This window comes from Homo sapiens, chromosome 16, assembly GCF_000001405.40.
Source record: "Homo sapiens chromosome 16, GRCh38.p14 Primary Assembly".
Classification (NCBI taxonomy): domain Eukaryota; kingdom Metazoa; phylum Chordata; class Mammalia; order Primates; family Hominidae; genus Homo; species Homo sapiens.
The window spans coordinates 88505625-88531961 of record NC_000016.10 but is presented as its reverse complement, the minus strand read 5'-3'; the positions used below and the strand labels follow the sequence as shown (position 1 = coordinate 88531961).

The window sequence follows — 26337 nt, the reverse complement described above, 5'->3', positions numbered from 1 at the left end:
CCTGCCAGCCAGGGCAAGGCTGTGGGCGGAGGCAGGGCCTGGCCGTGACGGACCCCACCGTCCTCCCCACCCCAGGAGCTGAGGCTTTGACCCCTTCCTGTAACTGTAAGCCTCCTGGATGGTCCTGTGACAGCCCCACTCCCTTCCGTAGATCCCAGGAGCCCTGGGACCCGTGGGGAGTGGGGTCTGAGTGAACCCCTATGGGTCCCCTTCCAATGGTGAGCCCCATAAGGAGATGCTTTGGCCTCATGGGGGCAGAAGGAAGAAGTGGACACCGCCAGGTGAGGCTAGCATCCATGACATACTGGGGTGACCGTGTGGACCCGGGAGGCCGTGGAAGAGGAAACGTGTGTGTACAGATGTGCGTGCAGGTGCGTGGGAGTGCCAGGCTGCAAAGAAAACCCACGCACACAGTCCCTGGGCACTCAGGCACACGATGGCTGCTGACTGCAGTTCTAGGGATGTGGGCATGAGACCAGGAGTGCACAAGTTAGGAAGCCCCCATGCGCCCACACACCTGGGCGGCTCCATGTCAGTGACCACCTGGCTGGTCAGATTTGTCGAATTTACCACACTGACCCCAAATGGGCTGCTTATAACTGTTGAGAGTTTTGGGGGCTTGCACTCTGCTTACGGTGGTTTTGCCAGCAGGGGAGGACTTCTCTAGCGTGTTCTCGGTTTGTCTTTATAGCAGTTTAAGGAATGTTCTCTGCCCCAGAGCCCTGCCCCATCTGCCCATGGCCCCTTGGCTGAAGACAGGGAAGGGAAGGACCTGTTCAGCTTGGCCTTGGCCTCCGTGTGGAACCCAGGGGCCCTGGGATTCCTTATCTGGCTTTCAAGCCCGTTCCACTTAGAGACTGATGTGATATCTGGTTTCTGCCTCTGCAGGTTAGTGCTGGTTTCTCACCCGGCTTCTCCGATGTTGATCCTGAGTCTGCAGTTATCACGCAGGGGTGGCCCCTACCCCCGCGCCCTCCCCTCTGCGGCCTGCTCGCCACCTCTGCCTCTTGGGAGGAATTTCAGTGCCTGGGTGAGGTGGCTCTTCCTCCTCCACCTCGCTGTTCTAACGACTTTTCTGGCTCACATCTCCCTCCTGTGCTGTTGATTTCTGTTTCTCAAGTTCCTTTTACTTGGGGGCTGCAGGCAGCTCTGTCCTCTCTCAGCTGAGGCCTTGAGCTGGGTCCCAGACCTGGGAGGCCACTGGGTGGGTTTGTTTCTGCGTCTCCAAGGTCATTGTGGGGGACTCTTGCTGCAGGGGTGTGGGGAGAGGGGCCGTGGCCATGCAGTTTAGAAAGGCTGCCCGCCTGCTGGTGACCACAGGCCAAATCTGGTGGCCTGCGGAGGGGCCTCCAGGCAGGTGCCTCTGCATCCCGCTTCACAGGCGAGATGGGCCCAGAGTGCCGGAGGCTCAAGAATGAAACTGGATCTGACCCTGGAATTGGTTCCTGCGGCTCTTCCAGAGCAGCAGACAAGCGTCGGCCGTGCCCTGGCAGCCGCAGAAGTGCTAGGGCAGGACTCAGGTATGTCAACAAGATGTGTGGCTCACGGTGGTGTCCTTCCGAAGCAGCGTTCCCAGGACACTGCTGCCTGGGGATGAGGCATGTCAGACCCGCGAGGGGGAAACCGAGGCAGAGGCTGAGCCTGGGGCACCCGCAGCTGCCCCTCAGGGACTGGGAGGTGGTCTCCGCAGGCTGTGTGGGCAAGGACCCTGCTGGAGGACGGGACCCTCACCAGCCTGCTGTCCCCACTGTCTTACTGGCGTTATCAGCGGGGTGTTCCCCTGGAGTTGGGTCTCCCGGGCACCCCGAGACACTACGGGGGCACCCCCTCTCCATCCTGGTGGAGGGGTGCAATGGCCTCCCATCCCCTCCGTGCCTTCTTCAGGGAAGAGGAGAAGGCAGATGGGGACCCCCTTTGCTCCCGGCTCCTTTCAGTCACCTGCGGCCCGTGTTCTCTTCTGACCTCCTGGCTCCCTGGGGCAGTGGCTTGCCCAGCCCCTGCCCCCAACCTGGGCTTAGGTGTGGACCTGGCCGCTCGGCCCGTTCTCTCCAGTGTCACCAGCTATTCCCACCAGCACATAACATGGGCTATTATGTCCTGGCTACCAGGCACACAAGCCCATCCCCCTCTGGCCAGCTGGCCCCTGTGCAGGCCTCCTCTCTGACCCTCCCTGGAGCGGCCTCGGTCAGGGTCATGGCGACCTCTGCACTGTCAGGACCAGTAGTCATTTCTCTGCTGTTGGTCTCGCCACAGCCTGGATGTGCCAGACCACCTGCCGCCCTCCAGGACCCCCTCTAACCTATCTCAGCTCACTCTCCGTACCTTGGGAGATGTCCCCTGTCCCCTGACTCCAGGGTCCACAGGCCCCAGGGCTCTCTGAGCCCCATCCTTGTCCCTCAGTGGACTCTGTGGCTTCTCTTTTGCATGTAGCAGGTGTCTTGATGTCAGGACACTCAAAGAGTGGGGGTCTGCTCCCCTGACTCTCATACGGGCTGACATCCCCCCAGTGGCTGCACACTTGGCCCTGCAGGTCTCTTTGCCCCTAACCACTGGCTGCCTCCACCTACTTCAAGCCGTCTTCACATCCGACTTGCTCACAAAGGTCGCTTTTCTTCCAGTTTTGTGACTCTGTGGTCACCAAAGCTAAACCTGAGTCTTACCGTCCCCCTCCAAACGCCATCCGGTGCCGTCCCTGTTCCCCTGGGAAGCCCCAGCCGCTGGCCGGAGCCAGACTTGCTGCGTGTTCCCTGCGTGACTCGTGCCTGTCCACGATGGCCACGCGCTGTCCTTGGCCACAGAGGTGCACGGGGCGCACCATCACCCTCGGCTCATTTTTCAAAGTTTTGGCAGATATGGGATCTTCTGTGTTGCCCAGTCTGGCCTTGAACTCCTGGGCTCAAACGGTCCTCCTGCCTCGGCCTCCCACGGTGCTGGGATCACAGGTATGGCTCCTGTACCCGGCCGGGGGTGAGTGACTCATGATTCCCGCAGCCACCCTCAGAGTTTCCGAGAGAGCCACTGCAAGAGTGGCATCTGTCCACTTCAGTTGTCCCCAGGGGCGGCTCTGTCCCCAGGGACATACGGCCATGTGTAGAGAGATTTTGGTGGCGTGTGCCTGAAGTCCCAGCTACTTAGGAGGCTGAGGCAGGATGGCTTGAGACTAGGACTTTATGACCATCCTGGGTAACAGAGTGAGACCTTGTCTCGAAAAAAAAACAACAAAAACCCAACCAACAGATGTCTTGGTTGTCACAACTTGGAGGTGGAGGTGGTGGCAGCACCTAGTGGGCCGGGGCCAGGGCTGCCGCTCACCCCCCGTGGTGTCCAGGGACACCTCCACTGTGGAGTGACCTGGCCCCAGACGCCAGGAGGGCCGAGGTGAGGGTCCTGCTCTGGCCCACAGTCAGGGCCGCCCCCGCGTCTGCCCCCAGGGAAAGCACTGGCTTCTAGTGTGGTGTGCGGGGCAGAGCCGAGTCTGTGCCTAAGCCCGCTTGCCTGCTGGCAGGGGCTTTCCCTGTGGTGGCCCTGGGCTCTGGGGACCCTCCTGTCCCTATGTGTTCTGCACTTGGGACCACCCACGTCACCTCCTTCCCTGCCTTACCTCTCACTCTGTCGGCAGCCTGCAGCCCCCGAGCTTCCCACCCTCAGCTCCCACCCTCTCCTGCCCTGCCTGCTCCTCCTTGGTGGAGCAGCCGCCCTGGGTGCGGAGAGCCCAGCACTTACTGTTGATCACTGCGGTGGCAAGGATGGAGGCCATCCCGGCCTGCTGGGGCAGGAGCTGGAGGTCGTGTGCAGGGGCCGGGCACGTGGGCTCTGCTGGCTCCTTCTTCACAGGGTGGCCGGGGGTGCTGTGGGGCTCGGCCGTGAGGAGCACGCTCAGGAGTCCCCCCGCAGGCACCGGCTTGGTGACCCTGCACCAGAGTGCGTCATCTGGAGGGAGACAGGTGTCCAAACCTAGGACTTTGTGCCCCACTTCCCTGTCCCGTCTTAAACAAGGGGCAGAGGATGGGGTCAGGAGAGCGGCCACCCGGGTTCACAGCCATGGCTGGCTGGCTGCCAGGGCCATCCTGCCTGGGGGGCAAGGCTGGGTGGTCCCCTGTGAGTGCTCACAGCCTGCCTGCCTCCAGGCCTCCTTGCTCTGGGCCCATCCTAGTGGGAGGGCCCCGAGGAAGTCTCCCAGGAAAGGGATGACGTGGAGGGCGGGTGGTGGAGTAACTAGGGGAGACCCTGGGTGGCCACTCAGGGACGGCAGCCAGAGGTGGGGCCCTAGAGTGGACCCGGCTCTCCAGGAAACCGTCCAAGGGCGGCTCTTCCTGCAGCCACCCGCAGGGGGCAGCCTCAGCCCACAAAGCCCAGGCTGCGCGGGGCCGGCTTGTTCACCTGGGGCGCCCGGGCTGTGTGTCCCCTGCGGTGCCGCCCTCAGGCCTGAGCCGGCCCGCTCACGCGCACCACAGCCTGTCCCCACCCTGCACTGGGGCCAGGGACTCCACTGGCCAGTGGACCTGCCTAAGCCCAGAGGGCCTCCCGCTTCATCCCCGGGTGCTCGGAGGTGCAGGCCACCCAGACGTGCCACCCTCAGTAGCAGCAGCACGGCAAGGCCCCTCGACTTCCTGGACGGCCACCTTGACCGTTCCTGGAGCCAGCCTGACGACATGGAGGATGGTCCAGTGGCACCTGCCAGCCAGTCTGGTGTCGGGGTCCCTGCTGCTGCCCTTGGTGGGTTCCCAGAGGTGCAGCCAAGGCAGGGAGGAGATACGGGGATCACGGTGTCCCCCAGAGGGGCAGAATCCTCCCCCACCCCCCCGCCACGGACACCTGTCCTGGCTCAGCCTGCCAGTCGGGACCCTCATACAGGGACTCATGGTCTGGGCTGACTGGTCCCAGTAGAGTGTCTGCCTCATGCTGCAGCGCCCGGGGCCAGCAGCTCCCTGTGCCCCATCCCCTGCCCTAGCAGGCTGGTTTCCCTTTAAGGGCTCAGCCCAGGGGGAGCCAAGTGACCCCCACCTTCCGGAAGGCTTGGGACGGAGGTGCCGCGTCATACTGACCCTTCCTGTGGATCTCTGTGTTGGCCTCGGCCTCAGTCAGGGCCTGGGGCAGCGTCCTCAGCCAGCAGGCCTCGTCCACCAGCAGCAGGGTCAGGGCTGGGCTCTGGGGGGGGAGGGTAGGAACACGTGGGGAGGGGTCCGTCAGCAGCCTGCCTGGGGGTTCCCGTGAGTATGTGGGGCATCTGTGACACGGATCTGCCTCCCGGCTTGGCTGGTAGGCCAAGCTGTGGACAGTCATTGGCCCAAGAGCTGGCAGAGGTGTGGCATGGGCCATCTGTGCCATAGTTGACCGGTGGGGCTAACACCGTGCTGGGGCTGGGAGGCTTGGCAGGGAGTAGTACCTTCCAGGGTTGGGCGCAGGGTTCTTGTGGAGACTGAGGCCCAAAGAGGTCGAGCAACATGCTCCAGGTCACACAGCCAGGGAGCAGCAGAGCCTGAACTCACACCCGGGTCTGCGTATCTGTGTTCTCCCCACTGCTCGCCCACCCTTGCCCCCAGAGTGCTGGGTGTGAAACCGCTGTTCCCACAGGGGCTGGACCTGGTAGAGGCTCCTTCCACACAGGCCCTAGATGCCTCCAGAATGACCTCTGTGGGCTGGGGCCGAGATTAGCCCAGAAGATACGGCACTTCCCTAGCAACCCTCGGGCCTCAGTGTCCTCCTGACAGCATGGCTCCCCTCCCTGCCACAGGGCGTGGCAGGGCCACCTGCGTTCCCGCTCGCTCCCGGGGCCGGCACACGGCGGACGCTGGGGAGCACCTGGTGGACTCAGCAGGTCTGTCCCCACCCTGAGGCTGGTCAGGCCCCTTCCTGTGGGCCTGAGACACCAGCACTGTGTTGGATCGGCCCTGGCCCCCCTGGCCTCACTGTCACCCTGGAAAGCAGGCAGTACCCTCCTCTCCATCTCATGGGTGAGGAAACTGAGGCCTGGGAAGGGGAGGGACAGAGCTCATGCCAGTGCCTCGGGCCATGCCATGCTGTCGGCGGTGGCTCAGGCTAAGTCTGGAAGGAAAACACTCTGGGCCGAGCCCGTGGAGGCCGCCTCGTTTCCTGCATCCATTGCACCCCGGCCCCCAGCTGAATGGCAGAGGAAATGCGAGGGGCCCCATCCCAGTGCAGTCGGGGGCTGGGACAGGGCGAGGTGGGGCGGGCAGTCCATGGCCTCGCTCTGTGGTGCCCAACACTGGTCAGACATCAAGGGGAGAAAATGGTGACGGAGGAAGGGGTGACCGCCGCTGCCCCTCAGGCCTCGGTCCCTCCTGCAAGGCTGACTCAGCCTCAGTGCCCTGACCCTCAGCCCTGTGCTGCTCACTGCACTGGTGGTCCCCAAGCTTAGCCACCTGGGTGTCCAATCTGGAGGCACAGCATACACGCGTGCTCCAGCACTTCCTGTAAACACACTTTTTGTTCTATACAAATGAATGCCTTTTAATCAGAAACTTCCTGCACCATGACCTTTGCCTGAAAAGCCAGTGTCACCTACAAATGCTGCCGCTGGCCCGGGACAGGTTTGTGCAGCCCTGTGGTGAGGATGGCAGTCAGCCCAACCCTGCCATGGTACAAGGGGTCGGGCTGGTGACAGTGCAGGGATGTCCCCTGTGGGTCTGGGGTACCTCCCCACTAGGTGCCAGCCCATGAGCTTTCCTGGACTTTGCCAGCACGCGTGGGACCCTGTGGGCCGCAGAGGTGGGCAGTGGGGTCCCAGCCAGGCTCGGCCTCCCTGCTGCGACCTTGGGCAGGGCACGACCAGACCCGTATGCAGGGACCCCTCTGGGCCACCCCTGCCTCTTGGCCCATCCGCAGGGCACTCAGGAATCTAGCAAGATACAGCCTTTGGGCTGGGACGTTCAGTGACTACTCAGGCAAGGTTCAGGCGGGCTGGCCAGCAGAGCAGGTGGCTTCCACGTCACCTGCCTGCTACCACACGGCTCAGCCACAGAACGGGTGAGCAGAGCTAAGCTGGCCAGTGGGGTGGGTGCCCTGGCTGGGGTGGGTGCAACCCTGCAGTCCCAGTGTGAAGCCGTCCCCAGCAGCCACCCCAACCCCTGGCTCAGGTTCTCCTCTGCAGACGGGGCTCTGCCCTCTCCCCACATGGCTGTTGGGGGGACAGAGGGGCGGCCGAGCCCCTGCTCACTCTGGACCCACCCGAAGCCCACCATTAGCCTTTGGGGCAGTCTCAGGGGGGTCAGTCCTATCTCCTTTGACTCAGTTTCCTCCCGGTATGTTGGGAGGCCATGATCTGTGTGAAGCTTTTTGCCTGCCTGGCAGGTTCCCAGCACAGGATGCATATTAGCTCCAGCCCTGGCTGTTGCTTTTGGGTTGACCTGGCAGGACAAAGTGGGCATGGGGTGCCGTCCACAGGGCATGTCCGGGGCAGCACATGCTGAGTGTCCACTGTGGTGAGTGGCTGCCCCGAGAAAGGTGCTTTGTGCAGGCTGGCATCGGGTGGGTGCCCCCCTTTTAAAGGACACCCCCGTGATTCCCAGGGCCGCAGAGCAGGGCTCAGGAACTGCACGCCAGCTGTGGGGCTCTGCCGGCTCCGATGGGGGCTTCTGCTGGGGCAGGCTGGGGGGTAAACCCCAGGGGCAATGGGCAGGCACATTCCTGGCACAAAGGTGGGTGACCGGCGGCTACTGTGTCCCGGCTGCTCCCGAGCCAGGCGGGCAGCGCTCGGCGAGGCTGCTGGGGCCTGGCCCTCCCCACCCTGGCCTTCCTGAGCCTCTAATGAATATTAATGAGCAGAGGAGGGTGAAAAAAATTAATCTGCTTGATCCTCCGATGGGTGCTGCGGTAACGATATGAAATCTAATTATTCGTCCCAATATTTCTAAACCCTCAAACTGAGACTGACAGCCTGCCGGCCGGTTTAATGCTTATCACTCCCAGGAGCAGCGTGTTCCCAGCATGATAAAAACACGCGCCGCAACTGTGCTGACGCTGCACGCACCCCCGATTTTTCTGTGGCGGTCCCGAGTGGAGGGCAGGCGCCATGTTCCCGCCCGGCCCCGCCGAGTGCACCCCGCGTATGTGGGGCGCGACGGGGCGCCTGGCCTGGCTGTGCGGGTGGGGAGGGGCAGGGGGAAGGAGGGTGAGGCTCCCATCCGGCACCCGCCCCCGACCCGGGAGGGAACAGGTAGGAGACCTAGGGGTGCAAGATAAGCAGCTCCGGCCACCCTGCCACGGCCCCCACTGCCAAACACTCTCAGAGGGGCCTGCCGCTCCTACTTCTGCGACCACAGGCTGGGAAGGGGTGAGGGCCTCCCTGCCAGTCTGCCCTGGCTGCTGAGGATGCAGGGGCCACCCTGACACCTCTCAGGGGACAGGTGAGCACAGCCTCGCCTGGGGCCACCAGGGTCCCCAGCCTGGAGGTGGCATGGACACGGCCAGCCCTGAACCAGGGTCTTGCCCGGTGCCAAGTGGCCGGACCCCTGAAGCCAGCCCGGGGCCACCCGCCCATCCTGGGAGCCACTGCTGGGGCCGCGGCCAGGAGACGCTGGGGCAGGAAGCCAATTTCAGCTTCTGCTTCCCTTGCGGAGGGGCTGGCCGGGCACGGGTCTGCCTGTTGATTTTTTTCTGTCTCTTCTTGTTTCCCCACCTCTGATCAGCCTGGAACAGAAGCCCTTTCTCTGGTGCTGCAGGCCCTTCCTGACCCTGCTCTGCCTGTGGGCACTGGGGAGCAAGGGGGAAGGGGGCCTATTTTTTTTTTTTTTTTGAGATGAAGTCTCACTCTTGTCCCCCAGCCTGGAGTGCGATGGCATGATCTCGGCTCACTGCAACCTCCACCTCCGGGGTTCAAGCAATTCTCCTGCCTCAGCCTCCCGAGTAGCTGGGATTACAGGCAAGCACCACCACACCCAGCTAATTTTTGTAGTTTAAGTAGGGACGGGGTTTCACTATGTTGGGCAGACTGGTCTTGAACTGCTGACCTCAGGTGATCTGCCCGCCTTGGCCTCCCAAAGTGCTGGGATTACAGGCGTGAACCACCGCGCCTGGCCTTGGGAGGGGGCCTATTTTTAACTTCCAAACCAGGCCCTTCTGCCAAGACTCTCAGAGATGTGGGTGCTGCGGCCATCTTCCCTCCCAGGGTGCCACAGGCTCGGCACCCAGCCTGGTCAGGCAGGTGTGTCCAGGGTCCACGGAGGACGCTAGAGCCCACCCTGTTTGCCGCCCCTTGGGGTTGCCCTGTCCCTCCTCTGGGCCCTGGCCGGCCCCACCAGCAGTGGCCACTTTAAATTCCCCGGGCGGACCTGAGAATGTTCCTTGTTTCCCCCAACAAAGAGGTCAGTGTCTTGATTCTGCGGTGGCACCGATAGCCATCGGAAACCCTATCTGTGCAGCATCCGCTGTGACAACTTTATCTGAGGCCGTTCCCAAACCTCGCTGTGAAGCTCTGAAGCAGCTTGCAGGGCTGCTGGGGTGGCCCGGCCCATGGAGCCAAACGGCCGGTCCTGCAGAAGCCCCGTGGGGCTGCTTGGTCATCCCCAGGACACTGCGGGGTAGTGGGCCAGCAGCAGGTTCACGGGAGGGTGGGAGCTGAGGCTGAGGCTGAGGCTGCTGAGGCCCCAGCCCGTCTTTCCTCCAGCCCACCCTGAGAAGTCCTCCACCTCCCCATCACCTTAACAGAGGCACCAGCTGGTCCCTCAGTGCCTCTGTCTCCCTCGACCATGCAAGGAGTACACTTCCCAGGTGAGGGCCTGAGGCCTGCACGACTACAAGCCAGGTCCGTGAGACCCCTGCCGCCTTGCTGCTGCCACTTCATCCACTGGGTCACACACTCACTCACTCCCTTATCCGGCAGGCAGGCCTTGTGCACCAGCTGTTGCCAGGTGTGGGGAACACAGTGAACAGAACTGCATCTCCCGTGAGTCCTGGAGTGTGGAGCCGCCCAGAAATAGCAGGTAGGCACCTGGAGGGGCAGCGACAGAGACACGGGACAGGCTGAGACGGGGAGTGGGGGTGGCTGTGCCAGGATGTTGGCCGAGACCTGGAGGGTGAGGAGGGGAGGGTGTGGATACGAGGGGGCCAAGGAACAGCACGGGGGAGGAAACAGAGAGGAGGGAACAGCATGGAGAGGGAACAGCATAGGGGAGGGAACAGCACAGGGGAGGGAACAGCACAGGGGAGGGAACAGCACAGGGTGTGGGAACAGCACAGGGGAGGGAACAGCACAGGGTGTGGGAACAGCACAGGGGAGGGGGAACAGCACAGGGGAGAGGGAACAGCATGAGGGAGGGAACAGCACGGGTTGGGGGAACAGCACAGGGGAGGGAACAGCACGGGGGAGGGAATAGCACGGGTTGGGGGAACAGCATGAGGGAAGGAACAGCATGGGTTGGGGGAACAGCACAGGGGAGAGGGAACAGCATGAGGGAGGGAACAGCACGGGTTGGGGGAACAGCACGGGGGAGGGAACATGGTGTTGGTGCTCAGGATACCTTAGCGGGGGGTCCCTGACCCACGATGGCCTGAGGCTTTCTCACCTGGGGATGGGGCTGGGACCCCTGGAGGCACCACAGGGTCTGAGCAGTCCTCTGAAACCATGCAGGGAGCCCCAGAGCCTGGCGTCAGGGGTCATCACCATGGCAGAACCTGATCTCATAGGAGGGGAAGGCTGGGCTTGGGGAGCTGAGTCAGGCCACTCTCCCTTTAGTTTTCACAGCACGGAGGAGGGAACAGCATGGAGGCGGGGGAAACAGCATGGAGTGGCAGTGGGAAACAGCACAGAGGAGGGAACGGCATGGGGGAGGGAACACTGAGGTTGGCCTCAGGCCATATATTCATCCATCCATCCATCCATGCATCCATCCACCTGTCCATCATCCACCCACCCACCTAATCATCCATCCACCCACCCACCCTCCCATCCATCCATCCACCTGTCCATCATCTACCCACCTACATAATCATCCATCCACCCACCCACCCTCCCATCCATCCATCCATCCACCCACCTGTCCATCATCCACCCACCCACCTAATCATCCACCCACCCACCGAATCATCCATCCATCCATCCACCCACACTCCCTCCCTCCCTCCCATCCATCCGTCCATCCATCCACCCACCCACACTCCCTCCCTCCCTCCCATCCATCCATCCATCCATCCACCCACCCATCCATCTATTCATCCATCCATCCACCCAATCATCCATCCATCCACCCACCCTCCCATCCATCCATCCATCTACCCACCCATCCCTCCATCCACCCACCCATCCACCTAATAATCCATCCATCCACCCATCCACCCACCCTCCCATCCATCCACCCATCCATCTATCCACCATCCACCCACCCACCTAATCATCCATCCACCCACTCACCCTCCCATCCATCCATCCATCCATCCATCCATCCATCCATCCATCCTTTCAGCCACCCACCCATTCATTCATCCATTCATCTATCCACCTACCCACCCACTCATCCATCCACCCATACATCTGTCCATCCATCCACCATCCATCTACCCACCTATCCATCCATCTATCCACCCATTCACCCACTCATTTATCCATCCACCTATCCATCTATCCATCCACTCATCCATCCACCCATCTATTCATCTATCCACTCATCCATCTATCCACCCCTCCTTCACCCACTCACCCACGCATCCATCCACCTACCTATCTATCCATCCATCCATCCACTCATCCATCTATCCATCCACCCAGCCGTCAATCCATCTACCTACTCATCTGTCCATCTACCCATCTACCCACCCATCCACCCACCCATCTACCCATGCATCCACCCATTCACCCGTCATCCATCCATCCACCTTCTCAGCCACCCACCCATTCATTCATCCATCCATCTATCCACCCACCCACTCATCCATCCACCCATACATGTATTCATGCATACATCCACCTGGTTATCCTCCCATCCATCCACTTATCCACCAGCTATCTACCCACCCATCCATCCACCTACCCACTATCCATCCATCCATCCATCCATTCATCCATCCATCCACTCATCCATCTATCCATCTACCCAGCCGTCAATCCATCTACCTACACATCTCTCCATCTACCCATCTACCCACCCATCCACACATCCATCTACCCACCATCTATCTGTCCATCCATTCATCCACCTGTCCATCATCCACCCACCCACCCTCCTATCCATCCATCCACCCACCATCCATCTGTCCATCTATTCATCCACCTATCCATCATCCACCCACCCTCCCATCCATCTGTCCATCCACCCACCCACCCTCCCATCCATCCACCCATCCATCCATCCACCTATCCATCATCCACTCACCCACCTAATCATGCATCCACCCACTCTCCCATCCATCCATCCATCCACCCACCCTCCCATTCATCCATCCATCCATCCATCCATCCTTTCAGCCACCCACCCACTCATTCATCCATTCATCTATCTACCCACCCACTCATCCATCCACCCATATGTCTATCCATCCATCCACCTGGTTATCCATCCACCATGCATCTATCCATCCATCCATCCATCTATCCACCCATTCACCCACTCACTTATCCATCCACCTATCCATCTATCCATCCATTCATCCATCCACTCATCCATTCATCTATCCACTCATCCATCTATCCACTCCTTCACCCACTCACCCACCCATCCATCCATCCATCCATCCATCCCTCCACTCATCCATCTATCCATCCACCCAGCCATCAATCCATCTACCTACACATCTGTCCATCTACCCATTTACCCTCCCATCCACCCACCCATCCACCCACCCATGCATCCACCCATCATCCATCCATCCATCCATCCACCCATCCATCCATCCATCCACCCATCCACCCACACTCTCAGCCATCCATCCATCCATCCATCCATCCATCCATCCATCCATCTATCCATCCACCCATCCATCCACCCACCCACTCATCCATCCACCCATACGTCTATCCATCCATCCACCTGGTTATCCTCCCATCCATCCACTTATCCACCAGCTAGCTACCCAACCATCCATCCATCTACCCACTATCCATCCTTCCATCCATCCATCCCTCCACTCATCCATCTATCCATCCACCCAACCGTCAATCCATCTACCTACACATCTGTCCATCTACCCATCTACCCTCCCATCCACCCACCCATGCATCCACCCATCCACCCATCATCCATCCATCCATCCATCCATCCATCCATCCATCCACCCTCTCAGCCATCCATCCATCCATCCATCCGTCCATCAATCCACCCATCCATCCACCCACCCACTCATCCATCCACCCATATATCTATCCATCCATCCACCTGGTTATCCTCCCATCCATCCACTTATCCACCAGCTACCTACCCAACCATCCGTCCATCTACCCACTATCCATCCTTCCATCCATCCATCCATCCACTCATCCATCTATCCATCCACCCAGCTGTCAATCCATCTACCTACACATCTGTCCATCTACCCATCTACCCACCCATCCACCCACCATCCATCTATCCATGCATCCACCCATCCACCCATCATCCATCCATCCATCCACGCACCTACCCACCCTGTCAGCCACCTACCCATTCATTCATCCATCCATCTATCCACCCACCCACTCATCCATCCACCCATACATCTATCCATCCATCCACCTGGTTATCCTCCCATCCATCCACTTATCCACCATCCATCTACTCACCCACCCATCCACCTATCTACGCATTCACCCACTCATTTTTTTTTTTTTTGAGACGGAGTCTCGCTCTGTCGCCTAGGCTGGAGTGCAGTGGTGCCACCTTGGCTTACCGCAAGCTCCGCCTCCCGGGTTCACACCATTCTCCTGCCTCAGCCTCCCGAGTAGCTGGGGCTACAGGCGCCCGCCACCATGCCCGGCTAATTTTTTTTTAATAGAGACGGGGTTTCACCATGTTAGCCAGGATGGTCTCGATCTCCTGACTTCATGATCCGCCCACCTCGGCCTCCCAAAGTGCTGGGATTACAGGCATGAGCCACTGCGCCTGGCCTCACCCACTCATTTATCCATCCACCTATCCATCCATTCATCTATCCACTCATCCATCTATCCACCCCTCCTTTACCCACTCACCCACTCATCCATCCATCCATCCATCTACCCACCCACCCTTTCAGCCACCCACCCATTCATTCATCCATCCATCTACCCACCCACCCTTTCAGCCACCCACCCATTCATTCATCCATCCATCTATCCACCCACCCACTCATCCATCCACCCATACATCTATCCATCCATCCACCTGGTTATCCTCCCATCCATCCACTTATCCACCATCCATCTACCCACCTATCCATCCACCTGTCCATCCATTCACCCACTCATTTATCCATCCATTAGTCTATCCACCCCTCCTTCACCCACTCACCCACTCATCCATCCACCCACCTATCCAACCATCCATCCATCCATCCATCCATCCATCCATCCATCCATCCACCCAGCCATCCATCCATTTACCTACACATCTGTCCATCTACCCATCTACTCACACAACCATCCACCCATCCATCTACCCATGCATCCACCCATCCACCCATCATCCACCCATTATCCACCCACCCATCCATCCACCCACCTACCCACCCACCGACCCACTCATCCATCTGTCCATCCACCCACTCATCCACCCAGCCCTCCAACCACACATCCATCCATCCATCCATCCATCCACCCACCCACCCACCCATCCATCCATCCATCCATCCATCCATCCATCCATCCATCCATCCATCTACCCATCCATCCGTCCACCTACCCATCCACCACGAGTGTTTCTTCTGTATCTGACTATAAATTCTGAAGCTGGCTGGGCCCCTCAGGCCCCTTTCCTCCAACCCCTGGCGTGGCAGGGGTGGGAGCTGTTGCTGCATCAGGGAAGCGACCTGCCCCAGGTCACACGGCAAGTCGGTGCCAGAGTCCACGCTCCTGACTCGGCTGGGGACTTGTGCACTCATTTTCCTCTGTGGGTGCCCGCCCCCCATGTCCAGAGGTGGGGAACCGAGGGGGAAGCCACCCTGTCCCTGTTCATCCCGGCCTGTGAGCAAGCCCCAGGCCTGTGGAGGCCAGCGGGGAGGGTCACAGCATCGCATCTGCACCCCTCCCCCTTCTCCTTCTACAAAGAGAGAAGAAAAACTGGCAGCAGCTGGGGCGATCCGGGCAGGAGGCAACGTCCTCCTCAGGGAGGGGTCGGGGAGAGAACTGGGACCTATCAGCCAAGAGCGACAGGGGCCCGCTGAGACGCAAAAATATTTAGACAATAAATGAAGTATCGGAAAGGCGTGCATATCTTGAAGAAATCAATCATCTTGTACGGTGTGTCTGGACACTCGGCGCCAAGGCGGAGATAGCGCCTCGCTGGGGAGATAAGGGTTAATCAAGGATTTAATTCTGCAGGAGATAAAGCAGAGGAGGGAAGAGTGGAGCGGGGGCTCCTTCCTCCCCGGGCTCCCCACAGAGCCCCAGCGGCTCCTCTGGCCTTGGCTCCCCTTGTGCCCCCAGACGTTATCTCCCCACTTGGGAGCGTTTCTAACCCCGTGCCCGTATCCCCAGGATGGCCTGTGCCCTAGGCCAGAGCAGGACTAAATGCGGAGGCAGGCGGACAGGGAGGGGTGACTGCAGCTAGGGCAAAGGGCAGCCCGTGGGGATGACTCCTGGGCCGGTGCCAGCCCCTCAGCCCTACCATTAAGGAGCTTGCGAGGGTCTCCGGGGATAGGCAGATGTGGGTTCTATTTCTCCCTCTGCTGTTTGATCCTGGGTATTTGGGCAATTGACTTAACATCTTGGAGCCTCAGTTTTCTCATCTGTAAAATGGAGTGGCAGGACCCTCCTCGTAGGGTGCGGGGAGGAGGAAGTGAGGATGGGCGTGTGGTGTGTCTGGAACTCACAGAGCCCTCCAATCTCAGCCCCTACGGTCTTTGCCCTTGGTCTCTACCTATGGGTTTTCTTGACACTTTGAGAGTTCAGAGATGAGAGCCACGGAGCTCCTAGCCCATCCACTCATTCCTCCTGGCAACCATAAATGCCTGCCAAGATCCCCACATCCCAGCACCCCAGAAGGATCAACTGCCGCTCACACGCGTACAGTGATGGGGAGCTCACGCCCCACAGAACCAGCTCTAAACACCATGGCTTCCTTCCTGTGGTGGAGCTGAAATGTGGCTCCTTCCATGGAGAAAACTGACCACCACTGAGCTTCCGCTGCCGTTCTTCCACCTCCCTGCTCCAGGCCACGGGGCCAGGCAGCCACCCCTCCTGCAGGGCTGCTGGCCGCAGTGCCCACTGAGCCATGCCCTGTGTCAAGCACCACTCCTGACCATCTCACGTGACCCGCCCAGCTGCCCTGGCAGACAGGGGTGCCCTGGGCTTCCCTGCACCACAGATAAGCTTGCAGCCCTGCCCACGCCCCCTCTCAGGGTCTGCAGGCTCAGACGTAAAAGGAAGCTTTAGGCGCCCCTGTGTCTCACCCAAGGTCCCAAAGGCTGAGGAAGTGGAGGCTCACAGTGGGCAGGGGCCTGCCTGGGGATGCACAGCAAGGAAATGGCATAAAGGCAGGAGACTCCAGGGCCTGGCAAAGGGGGACGCCCTCTGTCCTGGGCCAGCTTCCCAGTGACTCCCTGAGCGGCCTGGGACATGCGTCTGCCCGCTCAGCTGCAAAAGGCTGTGTGAATGGCCCAGGAGGCCCCAGACCCTATGCCGCCCATGATGCAGCCCCACACGTACTTACAGGTTTCTATATACCAGTGCCCTTTCTTAGCTGAGACGTGGTTTAAAAGAAACCATTATACCCTCTTCGGAGGAAACCGAACTGACTTGTCATAAGTTGGAGGTAGCCCCAGAAGTACATCCAAGACAAACGACACAGGCCTTTGTGTCTAGCAGCAAGGGGCTGCCTTGGAAGGCTCTGCCAGGCAGGGGCTGTCACCAAGGAGATGAGCACACGTGCCGAGGCCATGGAGACCATGGGCCTGACGGCCGTGCCTGTCGTCAGAAGAGTCCGCGGGGACAGACACAGAACTACCCTCTCGCTCTCTGCTGTAGCATCCCCACCGTCCCAGTACCCCAAGGCCTGGGCCATTGGTTTGTTCCTCCCTCCCCTTGAATGCTCTTCTCCTCTGCTTCAATGCCCAGTCATCTGTCAAGGTCCTGCTTAAAGAACCCCTCCTCCAGGAAGTCCTCCCTGGGGCACCAAAGGCCCCATATCACCTCCTACAGGAAGCCCTCCCTGGGCCCCAAGGCAGCGAATCCCTCCCTATCCTCCAGGTCCCAATATCTCAGGCCCACATCTTCAAGTGGCCAGAGCCCCGGAGCTGGCATCTAAGCTGGGCCTGTCCCCTGGGTCCATGTTGCCCTGCATTGGGGTGGGCGGGCAGGGGCGGGGATGGGGGCTTCTTACCGGCTCCGCCTGCCTGGGGGATGAGGCTCTGGTCTGGACACTCCCATGGAACGGGCCCCAGGACAGGCCCGTGGCGAGGCTGAGTCGGGCCCGTATGCGCCTCTGCCCATCCTGCACCACCGGCTCCAGCTCGTCTGCAGAGAGACATCGCAGGCATGAGGCGTGCCCGGTCTGGGGCCTGTCCAGCCCACCTCCCGCTAGGGTTGGCCCAAGGGGCAGTGGAGGGTGGCAGTCCTGGGGGCCTGGGGTGAATGGCAGGGGCCGGGCAGGTGCTGGGTCCCAGGGGCCTGGGCAGCCCTGCAGCAAGATCTCTAGGGCACTGTGGGGTGTAGGGACGCAGCCAGGAGGATGCCTGTGGCTGGGTTTGAGCGAGCTGTGAGCCCTGCGATGGTCGTTCTCCAGAGCAAGGGCTGCGGGTGGGACAGGCCCACAGAGCCCGGCCGCACAGTGCAACGCTGGCCTGAGTTTATGTCATGGCTGACTGGGGGCCCCCAAAAGATACATCAGCCTGCAGTCTATGAACGTGCTGATATTTGGAAAAAGGGTCTTTGCAAATGCAATTAGATTAAGGCTCTTGAGATCAATGGGATTATCAGGTGGGCCCTAAAACCAATGACAAGTATCTTTCTAAGAGACACAGAAAAGGAGACAGAAAAGACCATGGGAAGATGGAGGTGGAGATGGGAGGCAGCCATGAGGGTCGCCTGAAGCCCCCAGAAGCTGAGAGTGGCAGGAGGGAGCCTCTGGAAGGAGCCTGGTGCTGCCGACACTTGGACTTGGGACTTGGAGCCTCCGGGCTGTGCAAGGACACACTCTGCTGCCTGAAGCCCCAGGTCACGCTAACTTAGCACCCAGCCGAGGACACACACACACCTGGCCACACCTGGCCCTCACCTGCCTCCTGGAGCCTCAGCCTCCTTGGTGGACAACAGGGACGTGGCTCCTCCCAGGCCACACACCCTCTGCCCAGGAAGGCCGGGCCACCTCTACCTCTCCTGTGGCCAGGGCTGCCTGGGCCCACAGAGGCCTCACGTGGCCTGGCCTGGTCCCCTGGCCGCAGTGCTGTGGCGGCCCCACTTCCTGGAGCCCCGATTGGGCAGGCTGTGGTCTTAATGGGCCTGATGATCAGATAGCTGCTTGCCTAATGGCAGAGATAACATGTAAATACGCCGGGAGGCCCTGCTAAAACGTTTTAACTGGGTCTTTGTCTTCCCCAGGGCAGATAAGATGGCAGCGAACCAGGACCGAGAGGCCGAGGAGGCCCGCGCCCCTTTATCAGCCCCCAGGAAGGGAAGAGCGGACTGGGGGCAGCAGGAGCGGTTCTGCCGTCTCAGCTTCAGGGCTGCCAGCCCACCCAGAATGCCTGGGTCCCAGCCCAGGGCTCTGACCACTAGGCCGCCCCCTCCCCTGCCCCTGCAGGGCTTGGCACCAAGAGGGTGACCAGTGTGAGCGGGGTCCCAGCATCACAGTCACACGGGCCAGCTAGCACCCCGCGGCCCTATGGGGGACCGGGAACACCCATTCCTGTGACGGTCATCCCCCTGCACAGACAAGGACATCGAGGCCCCTGGAGGCTCTGCGGCTAGCAGGCTAGCAGTGGGGCACCGGGGTCCAAACCCAGAGGCCTGGCTCCAGGGGCACCCCTGCGTGTGACAGTGGTGGGGGGCCCGGCCCCTCATGTCCTGGCTGTACCTGCGACTCTGGCCCACCTGGCCAGGCCTCGGGGGTGGGCACGGGAGAGAAGAGACTCCCCCGATGGGAGCTCCTGGTGTGTGCTCATCTGTCCCTCTGTCTGGCCTCCGGCGGGTCCTCAGTGCCACCATCAAGTGAGCCTGTGTGTCACCCCCGAGTCAGGGCTGGGGCCACAGGGAAGCATGTGGAATCCCATCCGGACTGTCAGAAACGCTTGGAGCTTCGTGGGGTGGGCCCTGCATGCAGGCCTCTGCTCTCCTGCTGGGGCCTGGGGGGCAGGGCGGGGTGGGGGGCCAAGAGGACCCCTTGTCCGAGAAGCCCCTGAGGGCACGTCTGGACCCAGGAGTGGCTGCGACTTCCTTTCAGAGAGGGAAGGGGTGGCATGCCTTCCCCTCGGGTTCCAGAACATTCCTGACCAGAGTCCCTGCTGTTCCTGAGACACTGCTGTGCACCTGGGGCTGGTGCCCACCTTTCCAGGGGTAGGAGGAGCTTGGGCCTGCAGCGTCCACACCTGCCGCGTATCACACCTCAAGGGTGCTGAGGTCCCTGTCCTGGCAGCCCTGGGCTCTCACTTGTCCCCTGCCCTCATGGGGAAGTGGGAGGGCAGAACTGGTGCCCACCCTACCCGGCCCACGAGGCACCCACAGGCAAACGGTCCTGCTCCCTAATCGGAGCTCCAGGGCCAGCCGGCCAAGCCTCCCAGATAAGAGCGTGGCTGGCATTTCCCGTGGCGGCCGCCCCTTCTGGGTATGGGTATCACACACTGCCAGAGAGGGCTGGCTCTGATAAAGGTGGCCGTTCCACTCGCCCAGGGGCAGAACCCACCACTCAGGGATGGCCGGGGGCTGGGCGAGGGGCCTCCAAGGAGTCCAGGGATCGGAGGGGTGTGGGGCTGGGGACCAGGGCAATGGTCACCATGACAACCCATCTCCCTGGACCAGGGTTCAGGATGCGTCTCCAAGGGGCTGTGCACGGGAAAGGTGCCTCTTGGGGGTGGATGCAGGTGCCTGGATTGGTAAGGGGAGCATGGCTGATCTTAGCCCCAGCTCACCCCAGGTGCCCTTGTGCAGCATTCGACCTGTGCAACTGAACATAGAGGCCGTGGTGGTTCTCAACGCTCTTCTGCTCACATAACCTATTTCCAGCCCTGTTCCTGCAGAGACCCTCTCCCAACCGGAAGTAAAATCGCATTGGAAAGTGGGGGTGGGTGAGGCCTCCTACTCCTGGCAGATGGGGTGCCTCCTGAGGACTTGGCTCAAGGCTGAGAATGGATGGAAGTGTCCGTGAGTGAGGGTGAGGGGCCTGGAGCCTAGGGCCGGGGGATGCTGAGCTGGGTGGGAATGGGCAGGAAGACACAGGCAGTTGTTTTTTTAAATGGCCTCTGAAATGGCTGGGGGATCCAGACAGTGGCACCCATGGAGATGGTCAGCACCCAACCCCACCACCAGGAAGCCTGGGGCCCGGCGAGGCTGAGGAGTGCCCAAGCCACACTGGGAGCTGTGGCTGGAGGTGGGACCAGAACCCACCGTGAGCTCAGTGCTTGTCCCGCCACAAAACCCTGTGGGGCACCTGGGGCAGCAACAGGCATGCCACAGCCTTGGCCTTGGGGCTCCCAGAAAACACAGGCAGTGGCCAGACACCCCCACCGGCACCGACAGCTCTGAGGGCGGGCCTGTCAGGGTGGGCTTCCAGGGGGTGGTGTCCTTCCCTGCCAGCCTCCTGTGACTGGTCTTTCTGCCTCCTCTTCCCCAGCTCCAGAACAACTGGGTGAGCCCAGCAGAGATGCCAGCTCCGGCCAGGTTGTCTCTGCAGCTGAAGAATGGGGACGCTAGCTGTGGCTCCCAAAAACCCACGAACCCAACATGAGTGCCCGCCCCACGGACCCAACTGAGTACCTGCCCCACGGACCGAGCCTCAGCCAGGCCCAGCAGGACTTGTGAGGATTCTTTCCAGCTGTGCTCAAGTTACTCCTCCCAACGTACATGGGGGAGACAGATCCGAGAGGTTAAGCAACTGGCCCAAGGGTAGGCAGTGGGTGGGTGGGTTTGAACCAGAGCCCCAGGGCTCTTCTGAGCTGAGGTGGGAGGCAGCGGCTGGTGGCCCCGTGGCTGACTCTTCCTGCTCTGACCTCAGTTTCCCCATCTCTAGACGGGTCTCCTGAGGAGGGGGCGGGACCTAGGCCGCATGGGTGAGCCCAGCCAGGGGAATGGGGCCGCCACTACAGGCACAGCACTGGGACAAGGACTAATTTATTCAGGCAAACAAGACTGCACACGCCATTTCCAGAACAAACACGCTGTGCTGGGATTCAATTTCACCCCCAGGCATCTGCGAGGAACCAAATGAGAAGTTCCAGCCATTGCATATTTATATGATTGAAAGGTCCACATGGGTCTTAAAGCCCTCCGATTACACCCCATGGGGATGGAAGCAGTGGGGGACCGAGGACCAGGCAGAGCTTGGCGCTGCTGGCTGAGCCAACCCCACAGAGTGGGGAACCTGGCTGAGGGGAGCCCGGTGGGTCTGGCCAGGGTCCAGGGCCTTTTGGGGGTGCCTGGGGAGGGAGAGCTGGGGTTTGGAATCCACAGGCCTGGGGCCAAGTCCTGCCTCTGCCCAGCTTGCCAGCGGTTGTGTGTGCTCTGAGCCTCAGTTTACCCATATGGAGAAGGGGGTGCCAGCATGACGTTCCCTCGGGCTCGTGCCGTGAGGTTAGGGGGTGTGTCTGCCGGTGCAGCCAGCACTATTCTCTCTCTCCTAGCTGCCCAGATGGGCTGAGAAGCTGCACCAGGTGGGCATCCTAAGGCCTGGGGCCCAGCCCAGGGCTGCCCCCTGGGACTTGGCCTTCACCCCTGGGCTCTGGCTCTGCCCCCGAGGCCCCAGAGGCCCCTGTCGCCTCCCTCAACAACGTGGCCAACAGTGCCCAGCGCAGGAACCGTGGCCCCCTCCGTGACGCGCGTGTGGCAGCAAGCCGGTAGAGGAGCGTCTGCTCCCATCCCACAGGCCCAGAGACTCCAGCAAGCAGCTGGGGGTCACATAGCAGGGAGGGCAGTTGCTCCCGAGACCAGACCCTGAAGCTGCTCTCTGACAGAGGATCCAAGGCTACACCCAGGGTCTTCTGCCTCCTGAACCCACTCTGCTCAGTCGCCCGCCTCCCTGGGCCTGTTTCTCCACCTGCTCCTGAACCCACTCTGCTCAGCCGCCCGCCTCCCCAGGCCTGTTTCTCCACCTGAGCCCTGGCCCTGGCAGGCTGGCTCACAGCTCTGACTTGAGGAGGCAGGTGAAGGCGTCACCCTGTGAGTCTGCGGACGTCCGGGAACCGGGGCCCCTCCTGCACACAGCTGGCCTTCCCGCCTTCCAGGGGCCAGCCTCCCTGTGTGCCTAATGGCTGGTAGTCTCGGGAGTGCAAAGTCCAGCCACCCCAGATGGTGGGCTCTGTGGTTGGTGCCCACCGTGGGGTCACCCCAGCACCCACTTATCTAATCGGCCCCATCGCTCCGCCCGGCCCCGCCCTGTGGCTCCCATAGGCCAGCTGGGTCCAGCTTTGTTGGGAGCGGCCCTGTCTCAGGGATCATGCTGTTTGCTTTTGATAAAAGTCACAAAAAAGGAAAGAAAAAGGAGTGAGGGGGAGGGAAGGAAAAACCCCAGGCTGACGGGGTTCTGGAAGCCTCTGTGGGTCAGCGGACTGGCGGTGAGGCTGGTGCACAGACCACGTGGGCCCCGAGAACACCAGCTTCCAACACATCCTGTACAGACACAGAAACCGAGGCCAGAGGGGCGAGCGGCTCCCCAGGGTCACACGGGAGGCAGACCGGGGTGGCCAGGGGTCAGCTGCGTGGGGCGGGGCAAGCCGGCCCCTCTGTCCACGATGACGCGCCGCGTGCGGATTCGCTTGCTGATCACCTGTGCTTGGTTCCCACGCAGGCAAACCCCGCGGGGCCCCTGAGGACCTGGAGCCCATTTAACAGGGGGTGAGGTGACCTGCCCAAGGTCACCGGCTCCAAAGTCAGACCCTCCTGGGGGGAAAAGCCCGTAATCTGGGTGGCAGCTGAGGCCCCAGGACAGAGAGAGGCGACAGAAGGGGAGGGGGGAGGCTAAGTAGCTCCTCCCCCACCCCGTGACCTCCGCGCAAACTCTGTGTCCCCTCTGCAGCCTCAGTAGCAGGCCCTGGCTCTGTGTGCTGCAGCCACCTACGGGAGGCAGAGCCCTGGTTCCCAGGATTCACCAACCAGGGCCCACGGCAGGCACCGAAGGCCACATCTGGGAGAGGTTCAGAGTGAGCGTCGGGATGGGCCTGTGCCCAGGAGAGACCAGGGGAACCCACGTGGAGCCCAAGGCCTGTGGTTGGACTCTGTGGCCTGCTCTGCAGCCACGGAAGCCTCTTGGGCAGTAGAAAGGGTGGTCCTGTGTGGATGTCATGGCCTCCTTCACATGTGATCCTCCCAAGATCTGGCTGGGAACAAACCCAAGCCTGGTGAGAAATGCATGGGGGACGAGGCTGGGGGTCCAACAACTTCTTTTCTTTCTTTTTTTTTGAGACAGAATCTTGCACTGTCACCCAGCCTGGAGTGCAGCGGTGCAATCTCGGCTCACTGCAGCCTCCGCCTCCCGGGTTCAAGCGATTCTCCCATCTCAGCCTCCTGAGTAGCTGGGAGTACAGGTGCGCGCCACCGCACCCGGTTAATTTTTGTATTTTTAGTAAAGAAGGGGTTTCGCCATGTTGGCCAGGCGTGTCTTGAACTCCTGACCTCAAATGATCTGCCCACCTCAGCCTCCCCAAGTGCTGGGATTACAGGTGTGAGCCACCGTGCCCGGCCCACCAGCAACTTCTTCACACATCCTCGACCCACTGGGCCCCTTCCTGTGATCCCCTTTTTAGGTTCCTGTTTACAGATGGGGCAACCAAGGCCCAGAGGAGGGAGTGGCTGCTGGAGGCCCCCGAGTGGAGCCCAGGATGGCCTGGGGAAGGGTATCCTCCCAGGAGGGCTGTGGGGCTGGGCCCATCTGCAGAGGGGCCTCACAAGGGTCCCTTGTGAGCATCCGAATGCCTGGGTGCATGGGTGAGGTCAGGGTACACTGGGCAGCTGGCTCTCTGCAGGGGGCCTTTCCCACAGCCATGCGGGCCCCTCAGGGCTGCCACTTCTCCCCGAGGCCCACATCTGCCGGAGCTGGATGGCATCTCCCATGGGGGCTGGTGTTCTCAGGCCTGTAGAATCCACAAGACCCAACCCAGGCTATGGACAGTGGCTGAGCACCGTCCTCTGAGTCATACCCCGTCCAGCCAACCTGCCAGGGCATGGAGAAGGCTGACACACCCAGGCAGCCCAGGTCTAGGACCAGGAGACCAGAGCCATGGGGCACTAGTCAGTCAGTGTGTTCCCTGGATCAAGCCACACCTGAATGCCAAGTCAAGAAACATAAAGGGACCCAGGCTTGACTCCAGCCCTGGCTGGGTCACTGATGGCCATGGCACCTCTGGGCAGACCTCAGCTTCCCATCTCTGAGCTCTGGAGGCGGGGACATGGTGCTGAGGGGGTGAGGCCAAGAGCTCGGGGGATGATGGGGACCGTTTCTCCTGCTCTCGTCTGTGAAAAGCAAGGCCTGAGAAGCTGGGGGCCACGTCGGAGGTTACACAGCCAGCAAGTGGCATGGGAGAGTCGAGCCCAGGTCCTCTGATCGCAAACCCATGTCTGCAGCCCAGGCCATACCCCCACTTGCAGTGAATCCCACCCCTTGGGTAGTGGGCCCTCCGTGAAGCCCCTTCCCCGTTCACAGATAGGAGTCGCCGAGCGGAGCAGGCAGAAGGCCACCTGGAAAGGCCAGCAGGACCGTAGCCCTCACTCGCAGCAGTGGCCCCGGCTGTGGCACTCGGGACAGCCGAGATGGAAGGAACAACGTGACATGCGCTAGCGAGAAGGGAGACGGAGCCGCAGGCGGATGAGACGCGGGTGACGGGAGCCATGGATGCACCAGAGCTTGGAGACAAAGCCACTCGAGGGCTCTGCAGATTAGCCTGGCTTCTGGGGGCCTGATGAGGGCTCCCACCCTGCCTCCTCCTGGGTCCCCCCAGCGCCCCTCAGAGGGTCCAGGTCCTTGCAGGAGGGCTGGGTCTGGGAGAGGCGCAGAGGAGCCTGGGAGCTGCACACCCAGGATGGGTAGAGAAATGGATCAGCTTTGCTGTTGAAAAACCAGATGTCACATACGTCTGGGCCCTCTGGCCACACTGGGGAAATGGCTCTGCTCCTCAGAGCTGTGCCCCGTGCACACCCAGTGATGGCCACCACTCTGCGGACGCACACTCAGTGCACAACCTGCCCTGCCCGCCCGCCCCCATTCAGTCCTTTCTGGATTATTCTGTGTTATTGTGTGCCCAGCATTGCAGTTAAGCCCCAGCACAAGACCTGAGTCTATTTCACTGAGGGGAAACAAAGGAGGGGCCTGCCTAAGGCCCCCCAGCGCCCTGCCCTAGAAGACCCCAGGCCCATCACCTCCTGGGAGGGTTCCAGCTCCTCTACCCTGGTCCCCCTGCCCTGGTGCCCCCCCACCCCTGCCCTGGTCTCCCTGCCCCCTGACCCTGGTGCCCCCCAACCCTACCCTGGTCTCCCTGCCCCTGCCCCTGGTCTCCCCACCTCCTGCCCTGGTCTCCTCTGCCTTCTGCCTGGCATGGCCCCTGTTGGCCTCCTGGCCATGATGCCTGGCCTCTGCTGGGCCACAAACCTCAGAGCACCCTGGAGGCCAGTGGAGAGCCCAGGGTGGGGTTGGCCTAGAGCCCCAGGCCTCCTGGATGAGGGTTTTCTTCTCACCCCAGGCCAGAGGTTAACAAAGGGCTTCGAACCACAGAACCTGCCTTCCTGAGACCCTCAGACCCTGCACTCACTGTGGATGGCTGTGGGGGGCTGGGGGTGCGGGGGGTGCCTGTCCTTGGGGTGAGCACGTGGTTGGAAAGCCCCATGGGGGGGCCCTGCCGGCGGCTGCACCTGCCGAGGCTCTCTCTCTGCTAGAGGTGGGCCTCGTGCCCTATGTGCCCATCCTCCAAGCACCCGCCCACCAGCACGGTGGTCTCCTTGCCAAGATGTGCTCAGGACCCACATCGCAGGGGGCCTGGGTGGGGTCAGCAGACAGGCGGCATGGGCTGCGTTCCCGGGAGCTGACGGCAGGGGGTGCTGGCTCCAGGGAATGGTAGATGCCAGGTATGGTGATGCCTCAG

General features: G+C 61.2%; 1 protein-coding gene, 1 long non-coding RNA gene and 1 other non-coding gene across 10 annotated transcripts in view, besides 8 other annotated features; 2 read left to right on the top strand and 1 right to left on the bottom strand.

Moving 5' to 3' along the window:
• Positions 1–26337, bottom strand: part of ZFPM1 (zinc finger protein, FOG family member 1) — an 85263-nt gene that overhangs the window by 5070 nt on the left and 53856 nt on the right. For 4 of the 6 annotated variants that reach the window (XM_011522914.3, NM_153813.3, XM_011522912.3 and 1 more), the window contains 3 exons: positions 17442–17575; positions 5046–5148; positions 3724–3930 (listed from right to left, as the gene is read on the bottom strand). In XM_011522914.3, the coding sequence (XP_011521216.1) occupies positions 3724–3930; positions 5046–5148; positions 17442–17575 (444 nt within the window). Of the gene's footprint in view, positions 1–3723; positions 3931–5045; positions 5149–17441; positions 17576–19133; positions 19222–26337 lie in introns of those variants that run through there. The other 2 variants (XM_011522917.3, XM_047433667.1) reach the window with 2 other exon arrangements.
• ZFPM1-AS1 (ZFPM1 antisense RNA 1) lies at positions 909–19003 on the top strand. The gene is made up of 4 exons (NR_148997.1): positions 909–1030; positions 1354–1520; positions 9842–9941; positions 18659–19003. It is a non-coding gene; the product is annotated as a ZFPM1 antisense RNA 1 (long non-coding RNA).
• Positions 3620–4359: an enhancer, noted in NCBI's record as "H3K27ac-H3K4me1 hESC enhancer chr16:88594011-88594750 (GRCh37/hg19 assembly coordinates)". NCBI's record gives its function as "activates a minimal SCP1, AML or CMV promoter by ChIP-STARR-seq in naive H9 embryonic stem cells {active_cell/tissue: H9 hESC(naive)}" and the evidence as "EXISTENCE:reporter gene assay evidence [ECO:0000049][PMID:30033119]".
• Positions 4326–4455: a silencer, noted in NCBI's record as "silent region_7855". NCBI's record gives its function as "represses an Ori minimal core promoter by ATAC-STARR-seq in GM12878 lymphoblastoid cells {active_cell/tissue: GM12878}" and the evidence as "EXISTENCE:reporter gene assay evidence [ECO:0000049][PMID:35858748]".
• Positions 4326–5100: a biological region, named in NCBI's record as "H3K27ac-H3K4me1 hESC enhancer GRCh37_chr16:88593270-88594010".
• Positions 4360–5100: an enhancer, noted in NCBI's record as "H3K27ac-H3K4me1 hESC enhancer chr16:88593270-88594010 (GRCh37/hg19 assembly coordinates)". NCBI's record gives its function as "activates a minimal SCP1, AML or CMV promoter by ChIP-STARR-seq in naive H9 embryonic stem cells {active_cell/tissue: H9 hESC(naive)}" and the evidence as "EXISTENCE:reporter gene assay evidence [ECO:0000049][PMID:30033119]".
• Positions 5328–5914: an enhancer, noted in NCBI's record as "H3K27ac-H3K4me1 hESC enhancer chr16:88592456-88593042 (GRCh37/hg19 assembly coordinates)". NCBI's record gives its function as "activates a minimal SCP1, AML or CMV promoter by ChIP-STARR-seq in primed H9 embryonic stem cells {active_cell/tissue: H9 hESC(primed)}" and the evidence as "EXISTENCE:reporter gene assay evidence [ECO:0000049][PMID:30033119]".
• Positions 5915–6502: an enhancer, noted in NCBI's record as "H3K27ac-H3K4me1 hESC enhancer chr16:88591868-88592455 (GRCh37/hg19 assembly coordinates)". NCBI's record gives its function as "activates a minimal SCP1, AML or CMV promoter by ChIP-STARR-seq in primed H9 embryonic stem cells {active_cell/tissue: H9 hESC(primed)}" and the evidence as "EXISTENCE:reporter gene assay evidence [ECO:0000049][PMID:30033119]".
• LOC107984890 (uncharacterized) lies at positions 19439–25599 on the top strand. 3 transcript variants are annotated; one of them, XR_007065179.1, is made up of 5 exons: positions 19439–20426; positions 20886–21157; positions 21892–22426; positions 23283–23790; positions 24906–25599. It is a non-coding gene; the product is annotated as an uncharacterized LOC107984890 (transcript). The 3 variants fall into 3 exon arrangements; XR_001752298.2 differs by lacking the exon at positions 24906–25599 and having other exon boundaries at positions 19439–19612; positions 20293–20426; positions 23283–23483; XR_007065180.1 differs by lacking the exon at positions 24906–25599 and having other exon boundaries at positions 20042–20426; positions 20886–21069; positions 23283–23483.
• Positions 21510–22013: an enhancer, noted in NCBI's record as "H3K4me1 hESC enhancer chr16:88576357-88576860 (GRCh37/hg19 assembly coordinates)". NCBI's record gives its function as "activates a minimal SCP1, AML or CMV promoter by ChIP-STARR-seq in naive H9 embryonic stem cells {active_cell/tissue: H9 hESC(naive)}" and the evidence as "EXISTENCE:reporter gene assay evidence [ECO:0000049][PMID:30033119]".
• Positions 23024–23529: an enhancer, noted in NCBI's record as "H3K27ac-H3K4me1 hESC enhancer chr16:88574841-88575346 (GRCh37/hg19 assembly coordinates)". NCBI's record gives its function as "activates a minimal SCP1, AML or CMV promoter by ChIP-STARR-seq in naive H9 embryonic stem cells {active_cell/tissue: H9 hESC(naive)}" and the evidence as "EXISTENCE:reporter gene assay evidence [ECO:0000049][PMID:30033119]".